The sequence below is a fragment of the Homo sapiens genome, chromosome 2 (genome assembly GCF_000001405.40).
Source record: "Homo sapiens chromosome 2, GRCh38.p14 Primary Assembly".
Lineage (NCBI taxonomy): Eukaryota > Metazoa > Chordata > Mammalia > Primates > Hominidae > Homo > Homo sapiens.
In genome coordinates, this window is record NC_000002.12 from 26,613,866 (window position 1) to 26,637,358 (window position 23,493).

The 23,493-nt window shown below is 50.9% G+C and overlaps 1 protein-coding gene across 3 annotated transcripts in view, besides 1 other annotated feature; it reads right to left on the reverse strand.

Moving 5' to 3' along the window:
* Positions 1–23,493, reverse strand: part of CIB4 (calcium and integrin binding family member 4) — a 60,162-nt gene that overhangs the window by 32,661 nt on the left and 4,008 nt on the right. For all 3 annotated transcript variants that reach the window (NM_001029881.3, XM_011532514.3, XM_017003329.2), the window contains one exon: positions 15,545–15,641. In NM_001029881.3, the coding sequence (NP_001025052.1) occupies positions 15,545–15,641 (97 nt within the window). The remainder of the gene's footprint in view (positions 1–15,544; positions 15,642–23,493) is intronic.
* Positions 19,325–19,865: an enhancer, noted in NCBI's record as "H3K4me1 hESC enhancer chr2:26856058-26856598 (GRCh37/hg19 assembly coordinates)". NCBI's record gives its function as "activates a minimal SCP1, AML or CMV promoter by ChIP-STARR-seq in naive H9 embryonic stem cells {active_cell/tissue: H9 hESC(naive)}" and the evidence as "EXISTENCE:reporter gene assay evidence [ECO:0000049][PMID:30033119]".

Here is a 23,493-nt window from a genome sequence, read left to right on the forward strand (position 1 = left end):
GCACCTGGGTGAATGTGTCCCCGCATCTCAGCTGTCCCAGCTGTGAAGAGCAGAGGCCGCTGACACCGGCAGGCAGGTGGCTGAATGCCTCCTCTGACACTAGCCATTCGGGCTGCTGGGAAGCCCTCCAAAGCTGCAGGGCGTCTCCTCCCTGTGGAGGCAGCAGCAGGCCCAGGGCCTGCAGAGGGTCAAAAACCCTGGGAACAGAGCCCCGGCCAGCTTGGCCAGCACCTCATTAGGAGGCCCGAAGAGGGGAGGGGGTACTTCAGGAACGATATTGTTTATTTTTCTATTTTTAAACAAGTCTGAGGTCTCTGGGGCACAAATGAAGTTATCAGAAAAGACATGAGTGGAATAAAGCCTCAAGCCAGCAGGCAGAGAGGGGCCCTTGGGACCAGGACTCTTGAAAAGCTGAAATGGAGTTTGTTTATCTTGTACTCTGGGAGTGCCGGACTGTGGCCGAGGGACTGGATGAGCATGTCCCCAGGCCCACCGGCCCCTTCCCCAGGCCCTCATCTGCCTGTCCCTTGGTGTCACTGGGGAATTCAGGCACGAGCAATACTTTTTAAATGATCCCATTAGCGTGTCATTTGCACTAGAGGGAGGAGGCTCCTCCTCTGGAAAGGAGCCTGGACTCACTTCTCACCTCAGACACATGAACAGTTTTCCCAGGAGGCAGAGTCTGGCAGAGTCGGTGCACCACAGGGCGCCCAGTTCCGGCTGGTCACTGGCTGGTCCTGCCACCTCAGGCAACCCCTCCATCTCCCGAGCCTCCATTTACTCATCTGCCAAGTGGGGCTGATTATTCCCGTCTTGACTCACATGCACCCCTCACAGGGAGAAGCACATGAGATGCTGTGTGTGCAGAGTGTCCTCAGAGAAGGGCTGAGCCACAGAATCCTTACATGACCCTGCAAAGGGGGCTCGCCATGCCCAAGTTCAAGGTAAGGAAGCTGAGGCTCCGGGAAGTGGAGCAACTTGCCCGGAAGCCTGAACTCCTTCCATTTGCTAAACTGCCTCTCCAATGCTGCACGTCAAGGATAATGCGCCCTGCTCTTGGGAGCTTTGAGAGAAGTCACGAATCATTGACAGAACCAATTAGAGGCCTGAGTGGGTTTGACTGGATGAGAAAATCTTCCCAGGAAGTGAGAAACGTGATGAGAAGCAAGGAGAGTTGGCCCTGCAGTTGCCAGTGCTGGTTTGAGTTCCAGCCCTGGCCGCATACCAGACTAGCTGGGTGACTGAGGGAGGTCACTCAGGTACCCAGTGCCTAATTTTCTCCTCCATGAACTGGAGACAGTAACAGTCTGAATGCTACTTCCCAGTAAGATGTGGCAGGTAAGGAGTCAGGGGAACAGTCAAATCCTGGACAAATGAAAGCAGAATGCCTCTCCATCCCCTGCCCCCAGACAGCATGAAACAGGAGTCGAACAAACTGCAGCCAGGTGAGCAGTGGGAAGTGTTACCCATCCGTTGTCCCCTGCAAGAGGTACCACATAGGCTGCAGGGTACAGAATCTCCCCTACCTCCCAGGATGCCCTGGGAGAGCGGCTGCCATCCCTACAGGCTCCCTTCACCCCTGGCGTGAGATTAGAGCCTCAGGTCATCCATGCCCCGCCCTTTGGTCCAGGTAGAAAGTTGAGGCCCAGGAAGAGGAAGGAACTGGCCCCAGGCTACACAGCCAGCAGATGGGAAAGCTAAAACTAGAGCCCTGAGCTCTTCTTCCCCAACTTCCCAGGCTTTCCTCGCTACCTTCCTCACCTGTGGGAGGTGCTATCACACCCATTTGGAAGATGAAGACACTGAGGCCCTGAGAAGGGTGGTGCCAAGCCCAAGACCGCCAGGTGGCAGCGGCAAGGCCGAGGCAGGGGGCCAGAGCCCGTCCCTCCACTGCTGCCTGCTCGACCCAGAACAGAGACTGCCTCCTACATCACTGAGCTTTTTCTGAAACAAACCACTTCTTAATTCTTTGGCTGAATGTCTAAATAAGGATTTTTGCCAATTCTGAGCCCTGCTAACTGATGAAGTTGTCAGAAAAAGATCTAATGATGCTTGAAAATGCAGGGTGTGAGCCAGCTGCCAAGTTACCCTCCCAGCTCCGACTGGCATCAGGCGTCGGGACCCTCCCACCAGCGCTGGGGGGCGGTGGGGGGTGAGCACTGGAGAGCAAGGCTGCCGATTTCCATCAGCCATGTGACTGTGGTGGCTGGGCTGCTTAACCCCTGTGGGCCTCTGCGGCCCAGCTGTAAATGAAGCGAACAACTCCCTCCTCAAACAGTTACCTTGAGGAGTAAGTGAGATGATGCATGTGTGACATCCCACACCGTGCTGGGCACAGCCCAGATCTCAGGACTTCCTGGGGGCCACATGGGGCAGCCAGCTGGCCTGAGGTCAGCCGAATGCAGCATGGTGGCCGTGCCTGCAGCCCTGGGTGAGCGAAGAGTGGAGGTCGCCAACTCCTAGGGTGCTCACAGAGCCAGCATGCATCTCCCCAATGTAATGAAAGGCTTGGTGACCTTGGGCCCTGCGAGGTGGAGCCTTGGGATGGGAGCCTGGGAGGCCAGGCTGGGCCCTTTGTTCTCTCTGTCCTTTCTCAGTGGAAGATTTGTCCCGCTGGGGCGTCTGGGCACTAAAGGTGGGGCCTGGCTTGGGGACTTGGGAATCAGACAATTCCCAGGCCTACCACAGGAGCCCGAGAAGCTGGGTGCTGGGAGCTGAAGGGGCCCTGCTGTCAGGAGCTGGACCTAAGCCCAGGCTACCCCAACACCCAAGACAGACACTCCACAGGGCGTCCCAGATGTGTATGAGAAAAGCTATTCCATCTCAGCCATCAACCACCCCGGCCACCAGCTCCTTCCCATCCTCCTTCCTCCTCCTACCACACACATGTACATAAATTAGACATGTGCACACGTGTGTATCCACACAGGCACACACACGTGTCACCTGCATGGTGACTTTGACTTTTATCTTCCCGAGAAGATGAAGAGATATGCAGAAGAGCAAACAGAAGTCTTGGGGGAAGGGCAGGGCCTCTTCATAACAGGGACAAAGGCTCAAACGATTGCCTCTAAAGGATTGGAAGGTGAGGGGAGCAGGGACAGCTCAGGCAAGCACTGCCTGTGAGGGGTCAGGAGTCTTAGAGCACACATGGTCACTCCCAGCCTCCCCCACTGCTCTACCCATTTTACAGGTGAGGAATCCGAGACCAGGGAAGTGGTTTGTCAAGAACTTACCCACAGCAAGAGCATGGAATGTGTGTGTGTGTGTGTGTGTGTGTGTGCACGTGAGCGTGGGTGGGCATGATTGTGTCCTGGGCATGTAGGAGGTGGGATTCAGCCTAGGAACAGTTGGGGAAACTGGGAGGGAATGAGCATTCAGCCAGCCCCCTGTGTAACAGGAGCCTCTAGCTCAGGGAGGGTTGGCTAAATTGAGGGCGAGATGAGGAGAGAGAAGTTGGCAAGAGCAAAAATTCAAACACCCTTATTTCCTGTAGCCACTTCTGGAGCTGGATGAAGGCAAGTTGGCAGGACAGTCTCTGGGCAATTGTGTGGCCTTGAGTAGGGCTTTCAGCTTCTCAGAGCCTCAGTTTCCTCATCTGTAGAATGGGGAGATACCACTGCATCTTACAGAGCTGCTGTGAGGATCAAACTAGGTAGACTGTGAAAGTGCTTGCAACCATGAAGCGGTGACTAGGGCAGAGAACATTTGGGGTTGGAGAGTGGAATTGCTGTACTCATCCAATCTGCTGCTTTTCATTAACAAGCCAGGGAGACTATCTGAGGGTGAGGGAGGGGCTCAGGGCAGTGGCCTAAATACAGGAGGAGGATTATCACCGGGTCCAGCTGTCCCTGCCTGGGTTGAGGATGATCAAAGAGCCCCCTGCGGCTGCTTTCCTCCTGCTCAATCCTTTGCCCTCTGGCTGAGTGTAGCGTTCCCAGAGGGCTGCCCTGAGTTCGTGACAGCCAGGAGGTCAGGCAGCTCCTCATCAACGGACCAAACCTCAGACATGGAGTTTCCTCTGGACACGGTAGAAAATCAGAACAGGGAGTGTGGAACGGCCTAGGCTGGGGAGGGAAGCCTGGGTTGGAACCTTGGCTCACCCTCTGACTGGCCCTGTTACCAAGTGTAGGTTGCATCCCACCTGTGGGCCTCAGTTTCTCCATCTATGAAGGCTGGCTCACCCTTGGAAAGTGTGGTGAGGTGGAGGCCATGACACAGCTCTGAAAAAACTGATCAAAAAATGCACCAGGAAGATCCCTGGAGTCCAGGCCCTGCCTCCCTCCACCCCGACCTCATCTCAGGTGGACAGGCAGATTCTAACACCCTCCACATGTGCCATATCCAGAGGAAAAGAGGCTCAAAAACCCAAGAGCCTTTGAGACCCCTCCAGCCCAGGTCTCTGCAAGAAGAAGCAGGACTGTCTTTCCTTTTCTTTCAGACAGAATCTCACTCTGTCACCCAGGCTGGAGTGCAATGGTGCCATCATGGCTCACTGCAGCCTCAACCTCCCGGCCTCAAGCCATCCTCCCACCTCAGCCTTCTGAGCAGCTGAGGCTACAGGTGCACACCACCATGCCTGGCTAATTTTTTATTTTTTGTAGAGAAAGGATCTCACTATGCAACATAGTGAGATCAAGACCAGGCTGGTCTTGAACTCCTGGGCTCAAGTAATCCTCCCACCTCGACCTCCTAAAGTAGTGGGATTGCAGGCATGGGCCACCGCACCCAGTCAAGACTGTCATTTTTAATGGCAAAGTTTTCACTGGGCCAGAGAGCCAAGCCTGCCTTGGGCCTGGGGGTCCAGTCGGACCGGGTGCTGGGGAAGGGTCTACGTGTGGGTACTCCGAGGGCCTGGTCCTAGCCTGACCGCAGGGCAGCACTGGCGAGGTCCTTCCTGGGTCCTCATGGAGGAAGAAGTTGTGCCAAGGCTTGCATGGCCGCCCAGGAAGCCACTCAGCTCCTAAGAAGTGGGAAGGAGATGCTGACGGGCATGACCAAGGCATCTCCCACCGGCCTCTCTAGGAGGGACTGTGCTTACTGGTAGCCTGGGTGAGACCATCTGGGCCCCAGCTTTGGGCACTTTGGGCACTTGGGTCAATAATCTGAGCGCTGTGAAGCCCCTGGCTGGTGAGTCTCCTGTTCTTTATCCAGAATTCCCTGAGAAGAAGCCCCATCGGCCCCCATGACCGAACTCGGTGCACAACCCGCAGTAAAGGCATAGTCACTTCTTATGGGGTGATGGATGAGAACCAGGCGTGGGAGCCTCTATTCACCAGGCATTCTCCACAAAAACTTCTCTTATCCATGGTCTTTTCCCTCTGGGGATGAAATCAAAGGAAAGAGGAGTGACATTTCCCAGGAGTCTCCCCACAGGGCCCTCCCCGGGGGGTGAGGGAGGCTCCGGAGGTGCCTGGCTGCTGGGCGTCCCAGCGTGGAGACCGGAAGGAGGGCAGTACAGGACCAGGCTCTCAGGACACCAGCCTCATGGAGCGCTTGGGAGTTTGGGAATGGAGAATGGAAAAGGAAAGTTGTGGGGGCAGCTGCTATATGTGCGGAAGATTCTACGAGGGCAACGATGAGGAGGGGATTTCTGTAATGTTTTACTGCACATCGGAAAGGCAGGTGTGATTCCTGGGTAAAGCGACAGGGTGAAAGATCCCTTGCATCAAACCTCACTCCCTCCTGACACCTGCCAAAATGAAAGTAAAGGGGTTTCTTAGAGGCATGACCCACAAAAACATAGAGACCTGACAGGGAAACAACAGCAGATTCACAGTGACATACACAGGAAACAGACAAGCAAGTGGGAAGTAACCCAGCAGATTTGAGGAAGCAGGACCCAAAGCCCACAGCGGGGAAGGTGACACCACCCCGATCTCCATCCCGGAATCCCCTACAGACTCTGCGACTGAGGAAGCAGGAACCAAAGCCCACAGCGGGGAAGGCAACACAATCCTGATCTACATCCCAGAATCCCCTACAGACTCTGTGACTGAGGAAGCAGGACCCTAAGCCCACAGCAGGGAAGGTGACACCACCCCGATCTCCATCCCGGAATCCCCTACAGACTCCGCAACTGAGGAAGCAGGACCTGAAGCCCACAGCGGGGAAGGCAACACCATCCTGATCTCCATCCCGGAATCCCCTACAGACTCTGCGACTGAGGAAGCAGGACCCGAAGCCCACAGCGGGGAAGGCAACACCATCCTGATCTACATCCCAGAATCCCCTACAGACTCTGTGACTGAGGAAGCAGGACCCTAAGCCCACAGTGGGGAAGGTGACACCACCCCAATCTCCATCCCAGAATCCCCTACAGACTCCGCGACTGAGGAAGCAGGACCCGAATCCCACAGCGGGGAAGGTGACACCACCCTGATCTCCATCCCGGAATCCCCTACAGACTCTGCGACTGGAAGTCCCTGGTAGCGCTGGAAATAGAGGCTGGCTGAAAGGAAGGTCAATTGCAAGTGTTTAAAGCAGTTGGAGTTCTAGACACCCCCACCCCCGCCAACCTACAGGCTGCTCAGCACCACGGGGTGACTGCCCATCCCCAGCCCCTGCAAAAGACGGGAGTTTGTTCTCTGGGGAGAGTATAGCAGAGGCTTTCTCCACGGGGGACGTCAGACATGGTTGAGAACTGGGGAGTGAATAAACATACAGGTGCTGAACTCTGAGACCTCACCAGCCCTCTTTCCTAACATGGCTCTAGGATGCTAGCAGGCAGAATTTTACTCTCCATTTTTCTAGAGAATCCTCAAAATGACCCCTCAGATCGCCCTTCAGTGAAGCTCCCAGTTGATAAATCCCACCTAGGGACTTCAGCTTTAAAACAGCTTTTTAGCAACCACCCTTCAGTCATCATCATGAGCCCTTGATGACCAGATATCTGAGGAAGGCTTCTGACGCGCAAGCCAAGGACCCAAACAAACAAGTGAGAAAAGCACCTTAAAGGAAAAAGGAGAGGACGCTACAAAAACGAGAAAGATCAGAGAACAAAAATGAGCTCTTGGAAACTAAACGCATGATGGCAGAAGTGAAAAACCCTATTAGAGTTGAAGATAAAGTGGAGGAAATCTTCCAGAAAGAAGAGCAAAAAGGCAAAGATGAAAAGTAGGAGAGAAAAGACAGAGAATAAAGGACCAATCTAGGATGTACAGCATCAGAATATTAAAGTTCCAGAAAGAAAGGACAAAGAAAACAGAAGGGAGAAAGTTATCAATGAAATAATTAAAGGAAAGGCCCCAGAGCTGAAGGACATGAGTTTCCAGACTGAGTGGGTCCTCCGCGTGCCTCACACACAGGGGAAAGGACTCGTGCCAACAATTATTGTTGGGAATATCAGAGTAGTAAAATAAAAGAGAAGAGTCTACAAGTTTCCAGGAAAAAAAAAAAAAAAAAAACAGGGAATGAAAAAAGATCAGGAAACAGAAAGGCTTTGGACCTCTCAATAACAACGGTGAAAGCTAAAATGCAATTAAGTGATGCTTTCCAAATTCTAAAGAAAAATGATATCCAACCTACAATTCCATCTAAACTCTCAGTCAAAGGCCAGTTTCAGTGGCATGCACATGTTATCCCAGCACTTTGGGAGGCTGAGGCAGGAGAATTACTTAAGCCCAGGAGATCAAGACCAGCCTAGGCAACATAGTGGGACCCTATCTCTACAAAAAATAAATAAATAGGTAAATTATCAGTCAAGTATGAGAGGAGAAAAAGACATTTTCAGATATGTAAGTTGTAAAAACATTTATCTCCATGCAGCCTTTATCAGAAAGCTACCAGAGGATGTGCTCCACCAAAAGAAGGGGAGTAAATGGAGAGACATGAAAACAGAAAATGCAAGACCCAAGAGAGTGGTGAGAAGAATCTGAGATGGTCATGAAAGGAGATCCCAAGGTGGTAACATATACCAGGCTCAGAGGGCAACCCAGTCCTGGTTAGAGAATGTTAGAAGGCTCCAAGAGAAATTTTGCTAGGAAAAGGAAATGTACAGGAAACTTCTCACTTCTAAATGCCTTTGGAGAAGACTTAGAAGATTGGCAGAGGTTTGGTGTCATTTCAATGAAAAGTACATAGACAACTAAGCAAAAACAATGATGACATCCAGGAAAAATAAACAAAACTACACAGAAAGGGAAAGTAACTACAGCTTATTTCATGACTCAGCTCTGAACAGTGTATGCAGTCATAATAATACAAAACATTGAGGCCAGGCATGGTGGCTCACGCCTGTAATCCCAGCATTTTGGGAGGCCGAGGCGGGTGGATCGCCTGAGGTCAGGAGTTCGAGACCAGCCTGGCCTACATGGTGAAACCCTGTCTCTGCTAAAAATGCAAAAATTAGCTGGGCATGGTGGCGGGCACCTGTAATCCCAGCTACTTGGGAGGCTGAGGTAGGAGAATTGCTTGAACCCAAGAGACAGAGGTTGCAGTGAGCCGAGATCGCATCACTGTACTCCAGCCTGGGCGACAAAGCAAGACTCCATCTCAAAAAATAATAATAATAAATAATAATAATACAAAACATTGACTATTGATCTCCCCCAAACTATCATGTAACTATATTGGGAGGGCAGGGGAACAAGGAGTGAGGAATAGGATGGGTGTTGGGGAGGGGAAGAGCTTTAGCTCTTCTTAGGGGAAGTCAAAGGCTGAACTATCAAGAAGGGGTAATACAAGGTGCTCTTTAAAGACATGGAGGCAAATAAGGAAAGAATCAGCCAAGAGCTGAAAATAGTTGCCTTTGAGAAGAGGAAATGTGGCAACCCTCATAGGGCAACTTAACTCCTGGCACACATGAATAATTTTGATTTAAAAACTTAAAAAAAAGGCCAGGTGAGGTGGCTCACACCTGTAATCCCAGCATTTTGGGAGGCCGAGGTGGGCAGATCACTTGAGGTCAGGAGTTCAAGACCAACCTGGCCAACATGGAGAAACCCTATCTCTACTAAAAATACAAAAATTAGCCAGGCATGGCGGCACGCGCCTGTAATCCCAGCTACTCAGAAGGCTGGGGCAGAAGAATTGCTTGAACCTGGGAGGCAGAGGTTGCAGTGAGCTGAGATGGTGCTTCTGCACTCCAACATGGGCAACAGAGTGAGACTCCATCTCAAAAAAAATAAATAAGAATAAATAAATAAATAAATGATAAAAACTAAAAAAAATTTTTTTTAATTAGAATAAAAATTAAGGCTAGGTATGGTGGTTCATGCCTCTAATCCCAGCACTTTGGGAGGCTGAGGCAGGAGAATTGCTTAAACCCAGGCATTCAAGACCAACCAGACAACATGACAAGACTCCATCTCTATGAAAAACACAAAAATTAGCTGGGTGTGGTGGTACATGCCTGTGGTTCCAGCTACTCGGGAGGCTGAGGCAGGAGGATCGCTTTAGCCCCAGAGATTGAGGCTGCAGGGAGCCGTGTTCACACCACTGCACGCTAACCTGGGCAACAGAGTGAGACCCTGTCTCAAAATAAATAAATAAATAATAAAATAAATATTAAATTTTTAAAAATACACTACCATTCCCACCCCACCTACTTTTAGGATTTCTTGAAAGGCTGAGTAAATTTCAGGACTTTTCATCGCTTTCAGCCTTGGGAGTGAGTTCTTTGCAAGCTGTTCTAAGCAGATAGGAACTAGTTCTAAGCAGGACTCAGAAAGGCTCGGAAAACTTTGGGAGATACATAGAAACCGAGATGGAGCTGAAACCTTAGGGGCCATCCTGACCATACCTCCCTACACCTTGGGCAGGTTTCCAAACCTCTCTGCTCTGTAACAGATGGAATAAAATGTAGCAGGGGCGGGTCTATGCGAAGACCATCTGCCAGCAGGAAGCCCGGAGCAGGAGGAGGGAAGAGGCCAGGGGGGTGAGGTGGCCCCGCCAGTGTGCAGGCCTCCACCCTACCTGCTCCAAGGCCCTGCGATCTTCCTTTAGGCCCTGTTTCCAGCCATCCCCAGTGGATGCAACTACAGCTCTGGGCTCGGAAACTAGAAACCCAAGTCACACCATGCCACACTCATCTGTGTTTACAGAAAGCAAGATAATTATTTACAAGAACAGAAACATTGAGCTAATACACTTTTAAATACACCAAATCCATCAGACAAAAAGAAAACAGAAACTGCTGAGTGGAAAGGGGGCACTGTGTCCTGTCCCCGTGCGGGACATTTTGGTCAGCAGGCTTTTCCTGCTACCCAGGATGTTCTCTCGCCTTGTTCTCCACTGATAGGCAGACCCTTCCCAATATTCCCAAGCCCGCTTTTTCCACGAGTGAACCCAAGTTAAGAAAACAAAGCTTTCTTCCCAGACCACTCAAGCCCCTGAGCCAAGTTATATCAGTACCCAGAGCTCCCTGGGGCCCAGTTCTCAAAGCCTATTCCAGAGACGTGTTCTGGGCAGTGTGAGTCACGCAGCTCCCGTCCTTGCGGCCACAGAGGATGCAGGCACAGCCGGGCCCCCACCTCCCAGCAAGCCTCTCCTTGCTCATTTTGGGAAGCAAGGCTTCTGCTTTGTCCAGAATCGGAAAGACACAGAAGGAATCTTTAGTCCTCGCTCTAGGTCTCCAAAAGCTGGTCTGAGCACTAGGGATGAGCCAGTGACAAAGTTCTTGACAACAGGTGACAAACGGAGAACAATACGGACAAAAGGGGGTGTGTCTGAAAACACTCGAGGCTTCTTACATTTTTGTTTTAAAATTAATATTTCTTTAAAATAAAATGATGGTCACTGACAGTGGATGACATATTTTTTTTAATGTCCTTACTTGGCAAAACTGAAAGTTGGCATCTCTAGTCCTGCCTCAAAAAAAGATTTTGTTTTTGAATAAAAAGTCTGGGACCAGGCTGGGAAGTTTAGTGGGAGGGTGGGGGGCGGGGCAGGCAGGGATGGTTAATGGGTACACACAAAAAAAATAGAAAAAATGAATAAGACCTACTATTGGATAGCACAACAAGGTATTATGGTGTATATATATATATATTTTTTTTATATAGGCATTATAGTCAATAATAATTGTATATTTGGAAATAACTTAGAGGGTAATTGGATTATTTGTAACTCAAAGGATAAATGCTTGAGGGGATGGATGCCCCATTCTCCACGATGTGCTTATTTCGCATTGCATCACAACATCTCATGTACCCCATAAATATATACACCTACTATGTACCCACAAATTTTTTTGTAAGTCTGGGACATACTGTGGTAGATGGCACACCACAAAAGAGAGTAAGACCAAGTCCTAGGGCCAGAACCACAGACTCAGAGAGTGAGGAGGGCACCAGATCATCGGTCCAATCTCTTTTTGAGACCGAAGGATGCTAGAACACCCGTCAGTGACAGAAAGCGCATTCCCTCTGTGCATAGCGCTGGCAGTTAGGGAGTGTTTACTTGTATTGTGGAGAAACCTGCATGTGCTTGTACCTGGACCTATGTCTGGGACCACCTAGAGCGAGGCCTTTCCTAAGGACAGCCTTTTTTTTTTTTTTTTTTTTGAGATGGAGTTTCGCCCTTGTTGCCCAGGCTGGAGTGCAATGGCGCAATCTCAGCTCACCACAACCTCTGCCTTCTGGGTTCAAGCGATTCTCCTGCCTCCGCCTCCCAGATAGCTGGGATTACAGGCATGTGCCACCATGCCCGGCTAATTTTGTATTTTTAGTAGAGACGGGGTTTTTCCATGTTAATCAGGCTGGTCTCGAACTCCCAACCTCAGGTGATCCACCCGCTTCGGCCTCCCAAAGTGCTGGGATTACAGGCGTGAGCCACTGTGCCCACCTGTGGAAAACAGGCTCCACCCCCCCACTGCTTCCCACCCGGACTTGCACAGACAGTTTTGTTTGCTGTGCAGAAGCTCTTTAGTTTAATTAGATCCCATTTGTCAATTTTTGCTTTTGTTGCAATTGCTTTTGGCAATTTCATCATGAAATCTCTGCCCATGCATATGCCCTAAACGGCATTGACTACATTTTCTTCTAGGGTTTTTATGGTTTGGGGTTTTACATTTAAATCTTTAATCTATCTTGAGTTAATTTTTGTATAAGGTATAAGGAAGGCATCTGGTTTCACATTTTCTGCATATGGCTAGCCAGTTCTCCCAGCATCATTTATTGAATAGGGAATTCTTTCCCCATTGCTCATTTTTGTTGTGTGTCAAAGATCAGATGGTTGTAGGTGTGTGGCCTTATTTCTGGGTTCTTTATTCTGTTCCATTGGTCTACATGTCTGTTTGTGTACCTTTACCATGCTGTTTTGGTTACTGTAGCCTTATAGTATAGTTAGCTGAAGTCTATTTGCCCCTTTGCTTCTCCCCACTCCAGTCATTCCTCTTGTGATGTCACTTGCCGAAGATCATGTGGCTAGCAAGTGAATCCAAACCTAGTTCTTTCATGCCTGGCCTGGTGCCCTATCCCTAGTTCTCTAGGTGGGGCAATGGCTCAGGGTCTTCAGTTCAAAAGACGGTTCTGGCTGTTAGAGACCAGATGGAAAAGCAAGAAAGAAACCCAAGTAGAAAAAAAAAGCAACATACAAAAAAAAAAAAAAAAATCAATGGGATCCAAATCAACATGTATATATCTGCATAGAAAAAAAGTCTGGAAGGAAATAAGCCAAAATGATTGTGGCAGTCATCCCTTGAGGTAGACTAATATATCATTTTAATCTTTTTTTTGTTTTTCTGTGTTCTCTAGTTTTTCTACAATGAGCTGGCTCTTATTTGTATAATAGAATAAAATCATGACCATTTAAGATTAAATCAGAAAAGTAAAATTAAAATCATGTGGCCAAGACTCCACTTCCCAGTTGCTCTCCAGTGAGCAAGTTCGGGGGGAAGAGGGGGTCTGAGACTCCAGAAAAGGTGAAGCATCCCAGCCCCGGCCTGTGCACCTAGCCTATCTGCTGGGAAGAGCAGGCCTCACCCCACCTGCCCCATCCCAGGTCTTCTCAAGCCTTGCTGCACCCCACCCCTAACCCCAACAGGCTCCTCACCCATGACATGGAAGAGAGGAACAGGGGAAGCATAAAAGATAGTGCAGAGGACAATGGCTCACCTCCACCGGGTCCCTTACCCAGCACAAGGTGTTCATATTGGTTTATAGATGGGGGGATATACATGCAAGGAGTGTGATAGCTCCAGGCCCAGACTCAGCCCTCCTGATCTTAGTCCAGTGCTTACTCCTTTGGGGGCCAAACAGAGACTCCAGGCCCTACTGAGACAAGGCTATTGCTGGAGAAGGATGTGTTGAGGCCATGGGTCACCAACACCCTCTATGCCACCCCTCCAGTTCGGCTCCCCTTGGGCCCTCTGTGGCACCTGGAAGACCCAGGCACATGGTCACTGCTCAGCCAAGCCTTGATTAGAATAGGAGGCTCTGCCTGGGCCAGAGTTCAAGCTGACTCCCCCAGAGCAGGAACTAGTCCAGACTCTTCCATCATGTGGCCCCTTGGAAGTTGTTTCCCTCTTGGGACCTCAGTTTCCCCATTAATAAAATCAGGGTGAGGAGCATTTGACAGTGACTAGACTGGGTGGTCTCTAAGTTTCTTTCCAGTCGTAGCATTCAGAGAGTCTGGGACTGACCAGTGACCCTGCACCCACCCAGGGGAGGGCAGAAGCTTCCCATCAGCCCTGCCTGTCTGGCTGGCCCTGACCCCGGGTCCCTTAGTGGATGGCCTGGGTTTGAGAGAAGTCCCACCCACATGTGGTGGAGCCCATGCACGTGTACACATGGGGTGTGACTGTATGAGGGTGAGGCCAGGAAGTGGGGGGTGCCAGGAAGACCGCCTCCCCATTTTGTTTCTGTCACAGTCACAGTCTCCGATTCACTCACCTTTCTGAGGTTTCTATTTCTTTCCCCTCCAGAATCCCAGCTTCTCCCAGCTACCCCCACCCACCTACCCACCCCTCACCCTTTCTCATTATTTTGTCTTCTCCACTCCTGCCTCTATTTCAAGACCCAGCTTTGTGCATTTTCCTCTGTCTCTGTCTGCCCTACAGATAGGCCTGTCACTTAGGAGGGGCCGTGCAGCCGTGGCTTGAATGACATGTCTGTGCCCCCTCCATGTCCCTTCCTCAGGAGCCAGCCTCCTCCTCCCTGGTATCCCCAGGCCTCTTCCAAGTGGTGGCCACAGTTCTCAGAGCCCAGTTCGTTCCAAACAGAAACGAAGATGGGCTCTCATTGAACAATGACAAACTGAAGTCATTATTCTGCCAAGAACCGAATGAAAAATAGAGAAGCCTGACGTAGCCATGATTTGTTAACGTGACATTTCCTCTCAATGCAATGCACAAATTTTAATTAAAATCTCAGGAGTGATTTTGGAGTCCTTTATTGTGTGCCTCTAGGCTCTTCCAGGCTGCCCTGGGGGAAGGGCAGGGCCTCTTCATAACAGGGATAAAGGCTCAGATAATTGTCCCTAAAGGATTGGGAGGTGGGGGGAGCAGGGACAGCTCAGGCTAGCACTGCCTGTGGGGCCAGGAGTCTTAGAGTGCACATGGTCACTCCCAGCCTCCCCCCACTGCTCTACCCATTTTACAGGTGAGGAAACCAAGACCAGGGAAGGTTTGCCAAGGACCCATCCACAGCAAGGGTGTGTGTTTGTGGGGGGTGGGAGTGTGTTCTAGGTGGTTGGAAGGTGAGATTCAGCCCAGGACAAGTTGTGGAAACTGGGAGGGAATGAGCATTCAACCAGCCTTCTGTGTAACAGGAGCCTCCAGCCCAGGCAGCGCTGGCTGAATTGAGGGCGAGTTGAGGAGAGAGAGGATTGCAAGAGCAGAAATGCAAGCACCCTTCTTTCCTGCAGCCACTCCTGGAGCTGGGAAAAAGGCAGGTTGGGAGGACAGTCTCTGGGCCCCGAGCCCTGCTCCTCCTGTCTTCTCAGAGAAGAACCTGAGAAAATTCTCAGTCCCTCTAGAAAAGCCCCAGTCCATTGAGGCAGCCTGAGGAGAAGAGAAGGGCTGAGGGACTGGGCCGATGGCTAGGGTGGCACCCTGGCTTCCTCAAGGCCTAATGGTCCTGCAGGGGATCCTGGCCTAGGGTCACTTGCCCTAGTTTGGGGCACAACAGACAGCAGAGGAAACTGGCTGGTGTGGGGTCACTGGGGTGAGGGTTAAGTAAGGAATGAGCAAACAGAGTGGGGTGGACTGCAAGCTGAAGCCCATCTAAAGACCCATAGGCTGGCCTCGGAGGCTGAGCAGCAGGGCCAGTGAGCACCTCCAGATGGGGCCGCCACCTCCCACGGTAAGGCCTGGAGCAGGTCTCATGCCCCATCTGCCCCTGGCCCCACCTGAGAAGTAGTGACTGTTATCACAGGGTCCTGCTCTAGGACCGAGGTGAGGATGGAGGGAGGCCAGATGCATGCAGGAAGTGTTTGGGAGCCATGTCCTTGCACTCCTCTGCCTGGAGGATCAGGAGCCCCTTGGAGTGAGGTGACCATCCCACAGCACGGAGTGCCCACCTCACCCCACCCCTCCCAGCACCCATCAGCCCATCAGCAGGTCCCACTGATGCTGCCCTTGCCCCACCCACCATCCTGGACTCACCCGCAGAGCTGGCAGGGAGCTGACCTGGTCCATGGTGAGCGTTGCCTCCTTGTAGTACTTCCCAGGAGGGCAGAGCTTCAGGAAGGTGTCATGGATGCTGAAAAGAGAGGCATGAAGACCGTGTGGCCGGGGAAAGGAGGCCAGCACTGTGTGGCCGGGGAAAGGAGGCCAGCAAGCCTGTCTCCTGCTGCAAGGGGTGGGGGTGTCTCTTTGAGGAAGGAGACTTGGGGTTGGCTGACACAGAAAAGGCAGTAATCAATAATAATAAAGCGCAGTAATAAATATGTCTTCTAGAAACATCCCTGGACCCTCCAGTGTGCCAGGCACACCATAGAGGATGCAGAGATGAGCCAGGTGAGAGGAAAGTTAGGCGAATATGCCCTGTAGCGAGCAGCACACTCTACGAGGGTTCATCATAGAATGTCAGAACTGAAGGGGCTTATGTCCAGTCCCTCGGTTACGGATGGGGAAGCCAGTAGGACCTTGGGGAAGCCAGGGTCCCCACCTCTGGCCATCTGCCAATTTCCATCCTCAACCCAAGAAAAGAGGTCACTTCGTGGGTCTGAGTGAGCCGGGATTAGAGCCCGGCTGCCTGCAGCCAGCAAACCACCAGCCTTGCTAGGCCACTTGACAGCAAACTTGGTTGCAGCAGATCGTGGACTGACTGGTCTTCCTAATCATCCCTGTCAGCGATGTCTCTTGTCTATAGGATCCCATCCCAGTCAAGAGGATTTTGCTTATAAGCTACAGGCAGAGGGTGAAATGGCCGTGTGACCCCTGAGAGTAAGAGGGCGGGAGGGAGCTCTGCCTCAGGCTAAGAGAGGATGAGCCCTCATTGCCTGTCTCTCTCACCCTATCCTGAACCTGGGTCCCTGTCCACCAGCAAGCTCTTAGGCCTACAGGTCCAGCACCCAAGGCAGCCAGTGGAGGTGAGACAGTGGTGCCCTGGGGCCCAGGAGGCCTGGATCCCAGAACCTGAACTGCTGTGGCAGGGCTGTGTGACCTCGGGCAACTCACTTGACATTTCTGAACTTTAGTTTCATCATCTGGATAAGGGACAAGAATGATATGTCTCTTGGAGGGCTGTGGCGGGGGTTCAGTGTGAAGGAGGCTGAAGGGTATGTGTGTTTATGTATAAATGGTGGATGGCGGGTGGTGGGGTCACCACAGGCTGGTTGAAAACACTGTCTCTAGAGCCGGACAGATCTACATTCAAATCCTGACTCTGCCACTTAATAGTTCTGAGGCGTCGAGCAAGGTTCTGAATCCACCTGAGCCTCAGTCTGCTCCTCTTTGCAGTGGGGTAGTAAATCTCCCCCCACACACTCGTGAGGATTAAATGAGGGGAGGTGTATGAAACGTCAGCGCAGTGTTTGGTAGGTAAGAGTGTTTGTGTTACCCGGGGCCTCAGAGGGGACACCCAGCCTGCCCTCTCTCTGTGTTTCTCTCCTATACTCCAGGTGCCCCTGTGCTCCTGGGCTGTGCACAACCCACACCTAGACTGTGAGAGTGGGAGCCCACCACCCTGACCCAGACCTGCTCTCCCCTCTCTTCATGGTCCCCTCCATGCTCCAAAATTACCCCTCCCTCCTTTAGTCCTTTCCTGTTCCTCTCCTGTCTTCCATCAAACCTCTACTCTCCTGAGAGGCCAGCAATCCCATGAAAGGAGTCTGTATGCAGGAGTGAGTGACTAACAGTCCCCTATTGACATTCCAGGGTATGTGGTTTGTTGACTCAAATGAGGCTCTGATTGGTGGAATTTAGGGACATGTAACTAAGTGAAGACCGGGTGCGGCGGCTCATACCAGTAATCCCAGCCCTTCAGGAGGCTGAGGCGGGAGAATCGCTTGAGCCCAAGAGTTTGAGACCACCCTAGGCAATACAGGGAGACCCCATTTCTACAAAAAAATTGAAAATTAGCCAGGCATACTGGCACGCACCTATAGTCTAGCTATTCAGGAGGCTGAAGTGGGAGGATCACTGGATCCCAGGAGGTTGAGGCTGCAGCGAGCTGTGATCGCACTACTGCACTCCAGCCTGGGCGACAGAGCAAGACCCCGTCTCAATAAACAACAAAAACTAGGTGAAGAATTTGGAGGGTGATTTTAGGAGTGGAGACTCAGAGGTAGAGCAGGAAGCAGGAGGCTCTCCCAGAGCCCTGACGATGGTAGGTGGAGGCCTCGCACCCTGCCAGCCACTCACTGTTTCACATCTCACTGACTAGAAAAACATCCTTCAGCTCCCAGCCCTGGGAGAGTGGAAAGAAACTATGCTGGGATTCTGTGTGCCCACTGCACTCTGTGCCCTGGGAGGCTGATCTCTACTGACAGTGTTCCCACCTCCCTTTCCCTCTGGCTTAAGGGAAGCTCCAGGAGGACTGGAGGTATGAGGGATGGGTGGGGATTTATCCTCCTCTCCCTCCCAGCCCCACACGACTCTGCAGTGTCTGTGTTCCCGCTGTCTCAGGCTAGCAGCCAGCTTCTGCAGCTCCAGCTCTCAGCTATCACCTCAGGCCTGGGGCAGTCAGGGCTGGCCCCTGGGTGCTTCCCTGGGCCTCCTTCTGAACAGTTCCTTCACTGCAAAGCACCTTCAAAGATCCTGCTGAGTGTGCCACCTGCTTCCCGCCGGGTTGCTCACAGACCTATCTGGATCTATCTGGATCCTATTTCTCTACCTCTAGCTACGAGACCCAAGGCAAACTGCCGGACCTCTCTGAGCACGCAGGCCCAGGTTCATATCCTGACTCTGTCTGATGGAGAGCCAGCCTCCTTCCAGTGGCATTGTGCAGATCCAGGCTAGGGCCTGACAGATGGGAGCTGGAGTGGCGTGTGGTGTTCATGGAGAGCACCATGACTGCCGCCTTGGCCACGGAAGGGGCCTGAGCTGTCACTAGGGTCTAGAGACTGCACACGTTTGGGAGGGAGCAGAAAGCAGAGTGTGGAACGGGTTGGGGGAGAGATTCTCCAGGAAAGTACTGGGGTGGATGCTGGGAACCACAGGTCAACAAGCAGGAAGAAAAGCCATCACTGCTGAAGTGTCCAGTGGCCTACAAGGGGCGAGGGGTAGGCCGGGTGCAGTGGCTCCTGCCTGTAATCCCAGCACTATGGGAGGCTGAGGCAGGCGGATCACTGGAGGTCAGGAGTTCGAGAGCAGCCTGGCCAACATGGTGAAACACCAACTCTACCAAAAATATAAAAAATTAGCCCAGCATGGTGGCGCGCATCCATAATCCTAGCTACTCCAGAGGCTGAGGCAGGAGAATCGCTTGAACTCGGGAGGTAGAGCTTCCAGTGAGCTGAGATTGCGCCATTGCACGCCAGCTTGGGCGACAGAGTGAGACTCCATCTCAAAAAAAAAAAAAAAGAAAAAGAAAGAAAGGGTTAAGGGCAGTGGGAGTGGCCGGCTCCAGTCAAAAGGAGCATTTTGTCACTGTCATAGTTAGAATTGCTGGCTTGAGGTGATAAAGAACAGACCCACTTTCAATAAGAGCAATTTTCAACAAAAATTAATGTTTTGGTTTTTTTTTAAATCCCTAAGGCAACGCACAAGTGAGCTCGGGCTCCTGCCCCCACCACGGGCACCACCGGGAGTGCCTGCTCTGTGTAGCCAACTCTCACGGACATTCTGCATGTTTCATGCCAGTCTTGCAAGGAAGGGACCATTGTTTCTTTTACAGATGAGGAAACTGAAAGTCAAGTAGGTAAAATAATCTACCTAAGGTCACACAGTGGTAAATGTTAAAGCCAGAGATACAAACACCAAAGCTCGTTCCCCAGGAGGCATCAGGGGCTGCTGAGGGGCAGAAAAGAAACTCACCAGCCCTTGCCACCCTCTCATGACAAAGCCTCTGTGCCGGGTGCACTCACACACATCATCTCACTGAATTTTCCCAACAACTCTCTGTGGGAGAAGTGGAGGGGCCATCATTTCTACAGATGGGTAAACTGAGGCTCCGAGAGTTTAAGTGTTGTATCTAAGGTTATACAGCTGGGAAGAGACGGAGTGGAGGGCTGAACCCTAAACCAAGTTCTTCGGGCTGTGCTGCCCACCCCTAAAGGGCCCACCCTTCTTCCAGGTGAGAGACTCGAGTCACCCCCCTGGAAAGTCCTCTCGGGGAGGGTGCTGGTGGGGTGCCTGCCTGGAGTTGGTGCCTTCCCAGGCTGCAGAGTGGGCGGGCTGCCCATAGATGAATCGTGGCTGCATCTCGGCTGCCATAAAATGTTCTCCTCCTCCAAATATGGATCAGCTGGCTCTAAATGGAACCCTGAATTAATCACTAATGGACTCAAAAGTCAAAGCCATTTGAAAAACTCACACATTCAGCCTGCCAGCAATCCAGCAGCCTGGGCCATGGCTCCCTTCCACACAGCCCAGAGAGGCAGGAGGGGCTGCCTGCGGGCTCAGGGGCTGGCCCTAAGACGGGTGGAGGTCACTCTGCTGCTGACTGTCCGTGGGACCTTGGACTCGCCAAGTCCCCTCTCGGGCCTCAGTTTCCCTTCTGTGAAATTAGAGTCCCAGCATCCCCCCAGCTCCCTCCAGTTTAGGTATCCTATGACTCTAGTCTTTCGTGCCTCTCTCTGGCATCCCATTTACCCCCTTGCCTCTGAGACCCTCTAGCTTAGTAGTTCTCAACGGGGTCCCACGTAAGAATCATGTAGGGAGTTTGTAAAAGGATCTGCCCTCCCCACCCCTTGAAGTTCTCATTCAAGGCCAGGATAGAGCCCGAGGCACCTACAGGTTCTACAAGCTTCTCAGTATTTCTACTGCCCCAGAGAGATCAAGAACATGACAAACCCGAATTCCCACTCCTCAAGTCCCAGCTTTCTGGCTTCACCCCCACCCCACGGGGTCAATAGTCCTTTGCTCTACAGTACTGCCTGCAGATAGTAGATATTTTCTAAATGGTCCTTCTTTAGCCTGAAAATGTGGCTTTTAGTTCCCTGATCTGCTACTTGCAATCTGTGTGGGCTTGAGGAAATTACTTCATTTCTTTGAGCTGATTTCCTCATTTGCAAAAAGTAGGGATAATAATACCATGATAGTAACAGCAGCCACGTAATCGGTGCTGACCCATGTGCCAGGTATTGCTCTAACAATGACAGATTTGATCTTCTGGTTGTCCTAATAACAACCTTGTGAGATTAGGTTCTATTTCCCTCAACTATTTTATAAGGATGGAAACTGATGCTCAGGGAGGGTAAGACACTCCCCCGTGTTTGCACAGCTACTAAGTGGCAGAGCTGAGCCTCAAACCCAGGTCTTTGGCTTCCAGGAAATAAACCTGTAACCACTCCACCTGCGGCCTTGAGGTGCCCGTTAATGGCCAGGACAGGGCCATGGAGTCTACAAAGTGTTGGAACCTCCAGAGGTTCTAGGAAGAAAGGCCCCATGGCTGGGTCAGCCTGAGCAGAGGCTGGAAGCAAAGCTTCAGGCTCCTAAACCAGACCCCACCCCACCCAAGAGAGTGTCAGGAACCATCCCAGGCAATGCAGAGTAGTCCGAAGAGCTCGGGCTGAGCCAGGCTGACCTGCGCCTGAGACATAGAGGTCTGGGCTGGAGTCAGGCTGTGCCTTGCCCAGGAAGCCACATGGGCCCTCTTTGGGTCTGCAGGGTCTGCACGGTCTGCAGTCACCGCCGGAAGGGCCTGGGCCCAGAAGAGGCATCTCGGGAAAAGGCTTCTTCTGGGACAACCAATTCAAACAGAGTCAGACAATGCTGCCCCGATGCTAGGGCGGAAAGGGACCTTGCTTTTGCTGAGATCAAAAACATGTGAAAGGAAAGTCTCATAGGCTGGAAACTTAGAGTGAACAGACCTCTTCTTGGAGGGCCAAACCAAAGCAGCCCTGGACTGGGAAGGTGCTGGCTCCAAGACAAGTCTAGAACATGAGGTCTCCCCCCACCAGCCCCCAGGAGGTGTCATCTGCAGATCTGGTGACCAGGCCTTTGTGTCCTTATGCAAGTCACAGATTAAAAGGTGGGAAAATATTGGACAGAGCCAGCCTCCCTGCAAAGGTTACTTCTACCTATCGGTCTCTTGAATACTTTTTTAACTGGCTAAGTCCATCCAACTGTACTGCCATCTGGGCCACATTTCTCTATGACACCAATAGGAAAATCACAAGGCATTGTCAGAGGCCACAGTGGAAAATCATTCAAAAGTGACCAGGGCTTCGTCTGGCTCAACTTGGCCTTGGTAGCCCAGGATGGCCACTTTCTCCGTGAGTATCACATGCCTTCTGCTCCCTGAGCCAGAGAAGCTGGGCATCCACATCACAGCTGTCCCCTCACTTTACAGACAGCATGCCCACACCAACCCTAACATATTCCACTCCCCAGGGCCCCACCAAGAAGATAACCTATTATCAGTTTCTGTGTCTGCTTCCAGGGATATTCTCCTCTGTGTATGCATGTATGAACAGCCCTTTATTTCATAAGAGCAGTAGCAGCCTGTATGTACTGGTCTTGTTTGCCAAAGTAATACAGTTAAATAGATTAAAAATGCAAATAGTACTGTGATACTGTGAAGCTTACAATCAAAGTTACAAATACTCCATACCCCACACCACCTCTCTAACCCTGCTCTCCAAAGGCAGCAGTTTGCAAGCATTTTGCTATTTCACTTTGTTTTTGCTTAATATTTACATGGTACTTCCAAATGCTGTGCTAATACTGCCTTTGCTGTTGTTTTCACTATAGATACTATCTTGTGACCTCTTAGTAGAAAAAAAGAGGATTTATTTCTCTATATATACTTCTTTTCCTTTCCCCAACCTCCCAATATAAAACAATTTTCCTGAATGAATATTCAGTGTTTATAATAATATTATATATCGTATATGCATTATTCAAACATTGCTCAAGCTGAGTTCCCTAGTGCAACATGATTACTTCTTTCCTGCAAGTCTTTTTGTTTTTCCCAGAATGAATAATCACTTTCAGTTTTTTGCCTTGGTTTTTGTGTGCCTATCTTTATTTCATCTCCAAACTTTCTGCAGAAATAAGTACCTCTCAATATGGTATCTAGATAGATTCATTTTGTCTCTTAGAGACACCACTCTTGGAACCCCTGACTCCCTAATTCTAATCTGGACTGATTGCTTTCCAGGCCGACTGTCCTGCTGTCATCCTTCAGCTTCCCTTCACTATCTTCCTTGTAATTCGTTTTGCCTCTAGGTTGAAAGCCTTTGTTTCCCCGATCCTGGGTCTTCTTTTTTCTTGGTTTACTCGCTAGTTTTAATGAAGCACATCTCCCAAAAGCTTCCTATGAAAAGGTCCATAAGAGATGATTTTTTTAATTTGCATGACAAAAAGTATTGTTATCCTGCCCTGACTCTTGATTAATGGCTTAGCTAGAACTTATTTCTAGATTGAAATTTTTTCCTTAGAATTTTGAATGTGTTTAGCCACTGTCTTCCAACATAAGTCCAAAGCTATTCTCATTCCTGATTCTCTGTAGTCTGTTTTGCTCTCCGTGGAAGCACTCAGGATCTTCTCATCATCTCTGCCAGTCTGAAATGTCATGATGGCATGACTTAGTGTGTGTAGGCCGTTTTTTATTCTTTCCTCAAATACCTGGTGTCCCTTAGCTTTCGATTTCTACTTACAGGGAGGCTCTAAAATGCTGACCAGAAGCTCACCCTGCTCTTCATCATGCTGGTGGCCCTGAGTCAGGGGCCTGTCTGGCTCCAGCTCTCCCCAGATGGTTAGCTCCTGTCTTCCGCTGGGGCAGGGCAGGGGTGCCAAGTTGATTGTGGATTGCAGAGGGAGAGAGAAGGAATCACATAAGACTTTCAATCTGCCTTTCTGTTTTCACCTGATCCTGCATCCTGGCATTTGGAGGTTCCTGAGCCTTTCTGCGTTCTCGATTCCATCATCCAACCCCTGCAGGCAAAATTCTTTCAACTTTCTATTCAGCTAAGTCTGCGTCATGGGTCTATCTGCTTTGCACT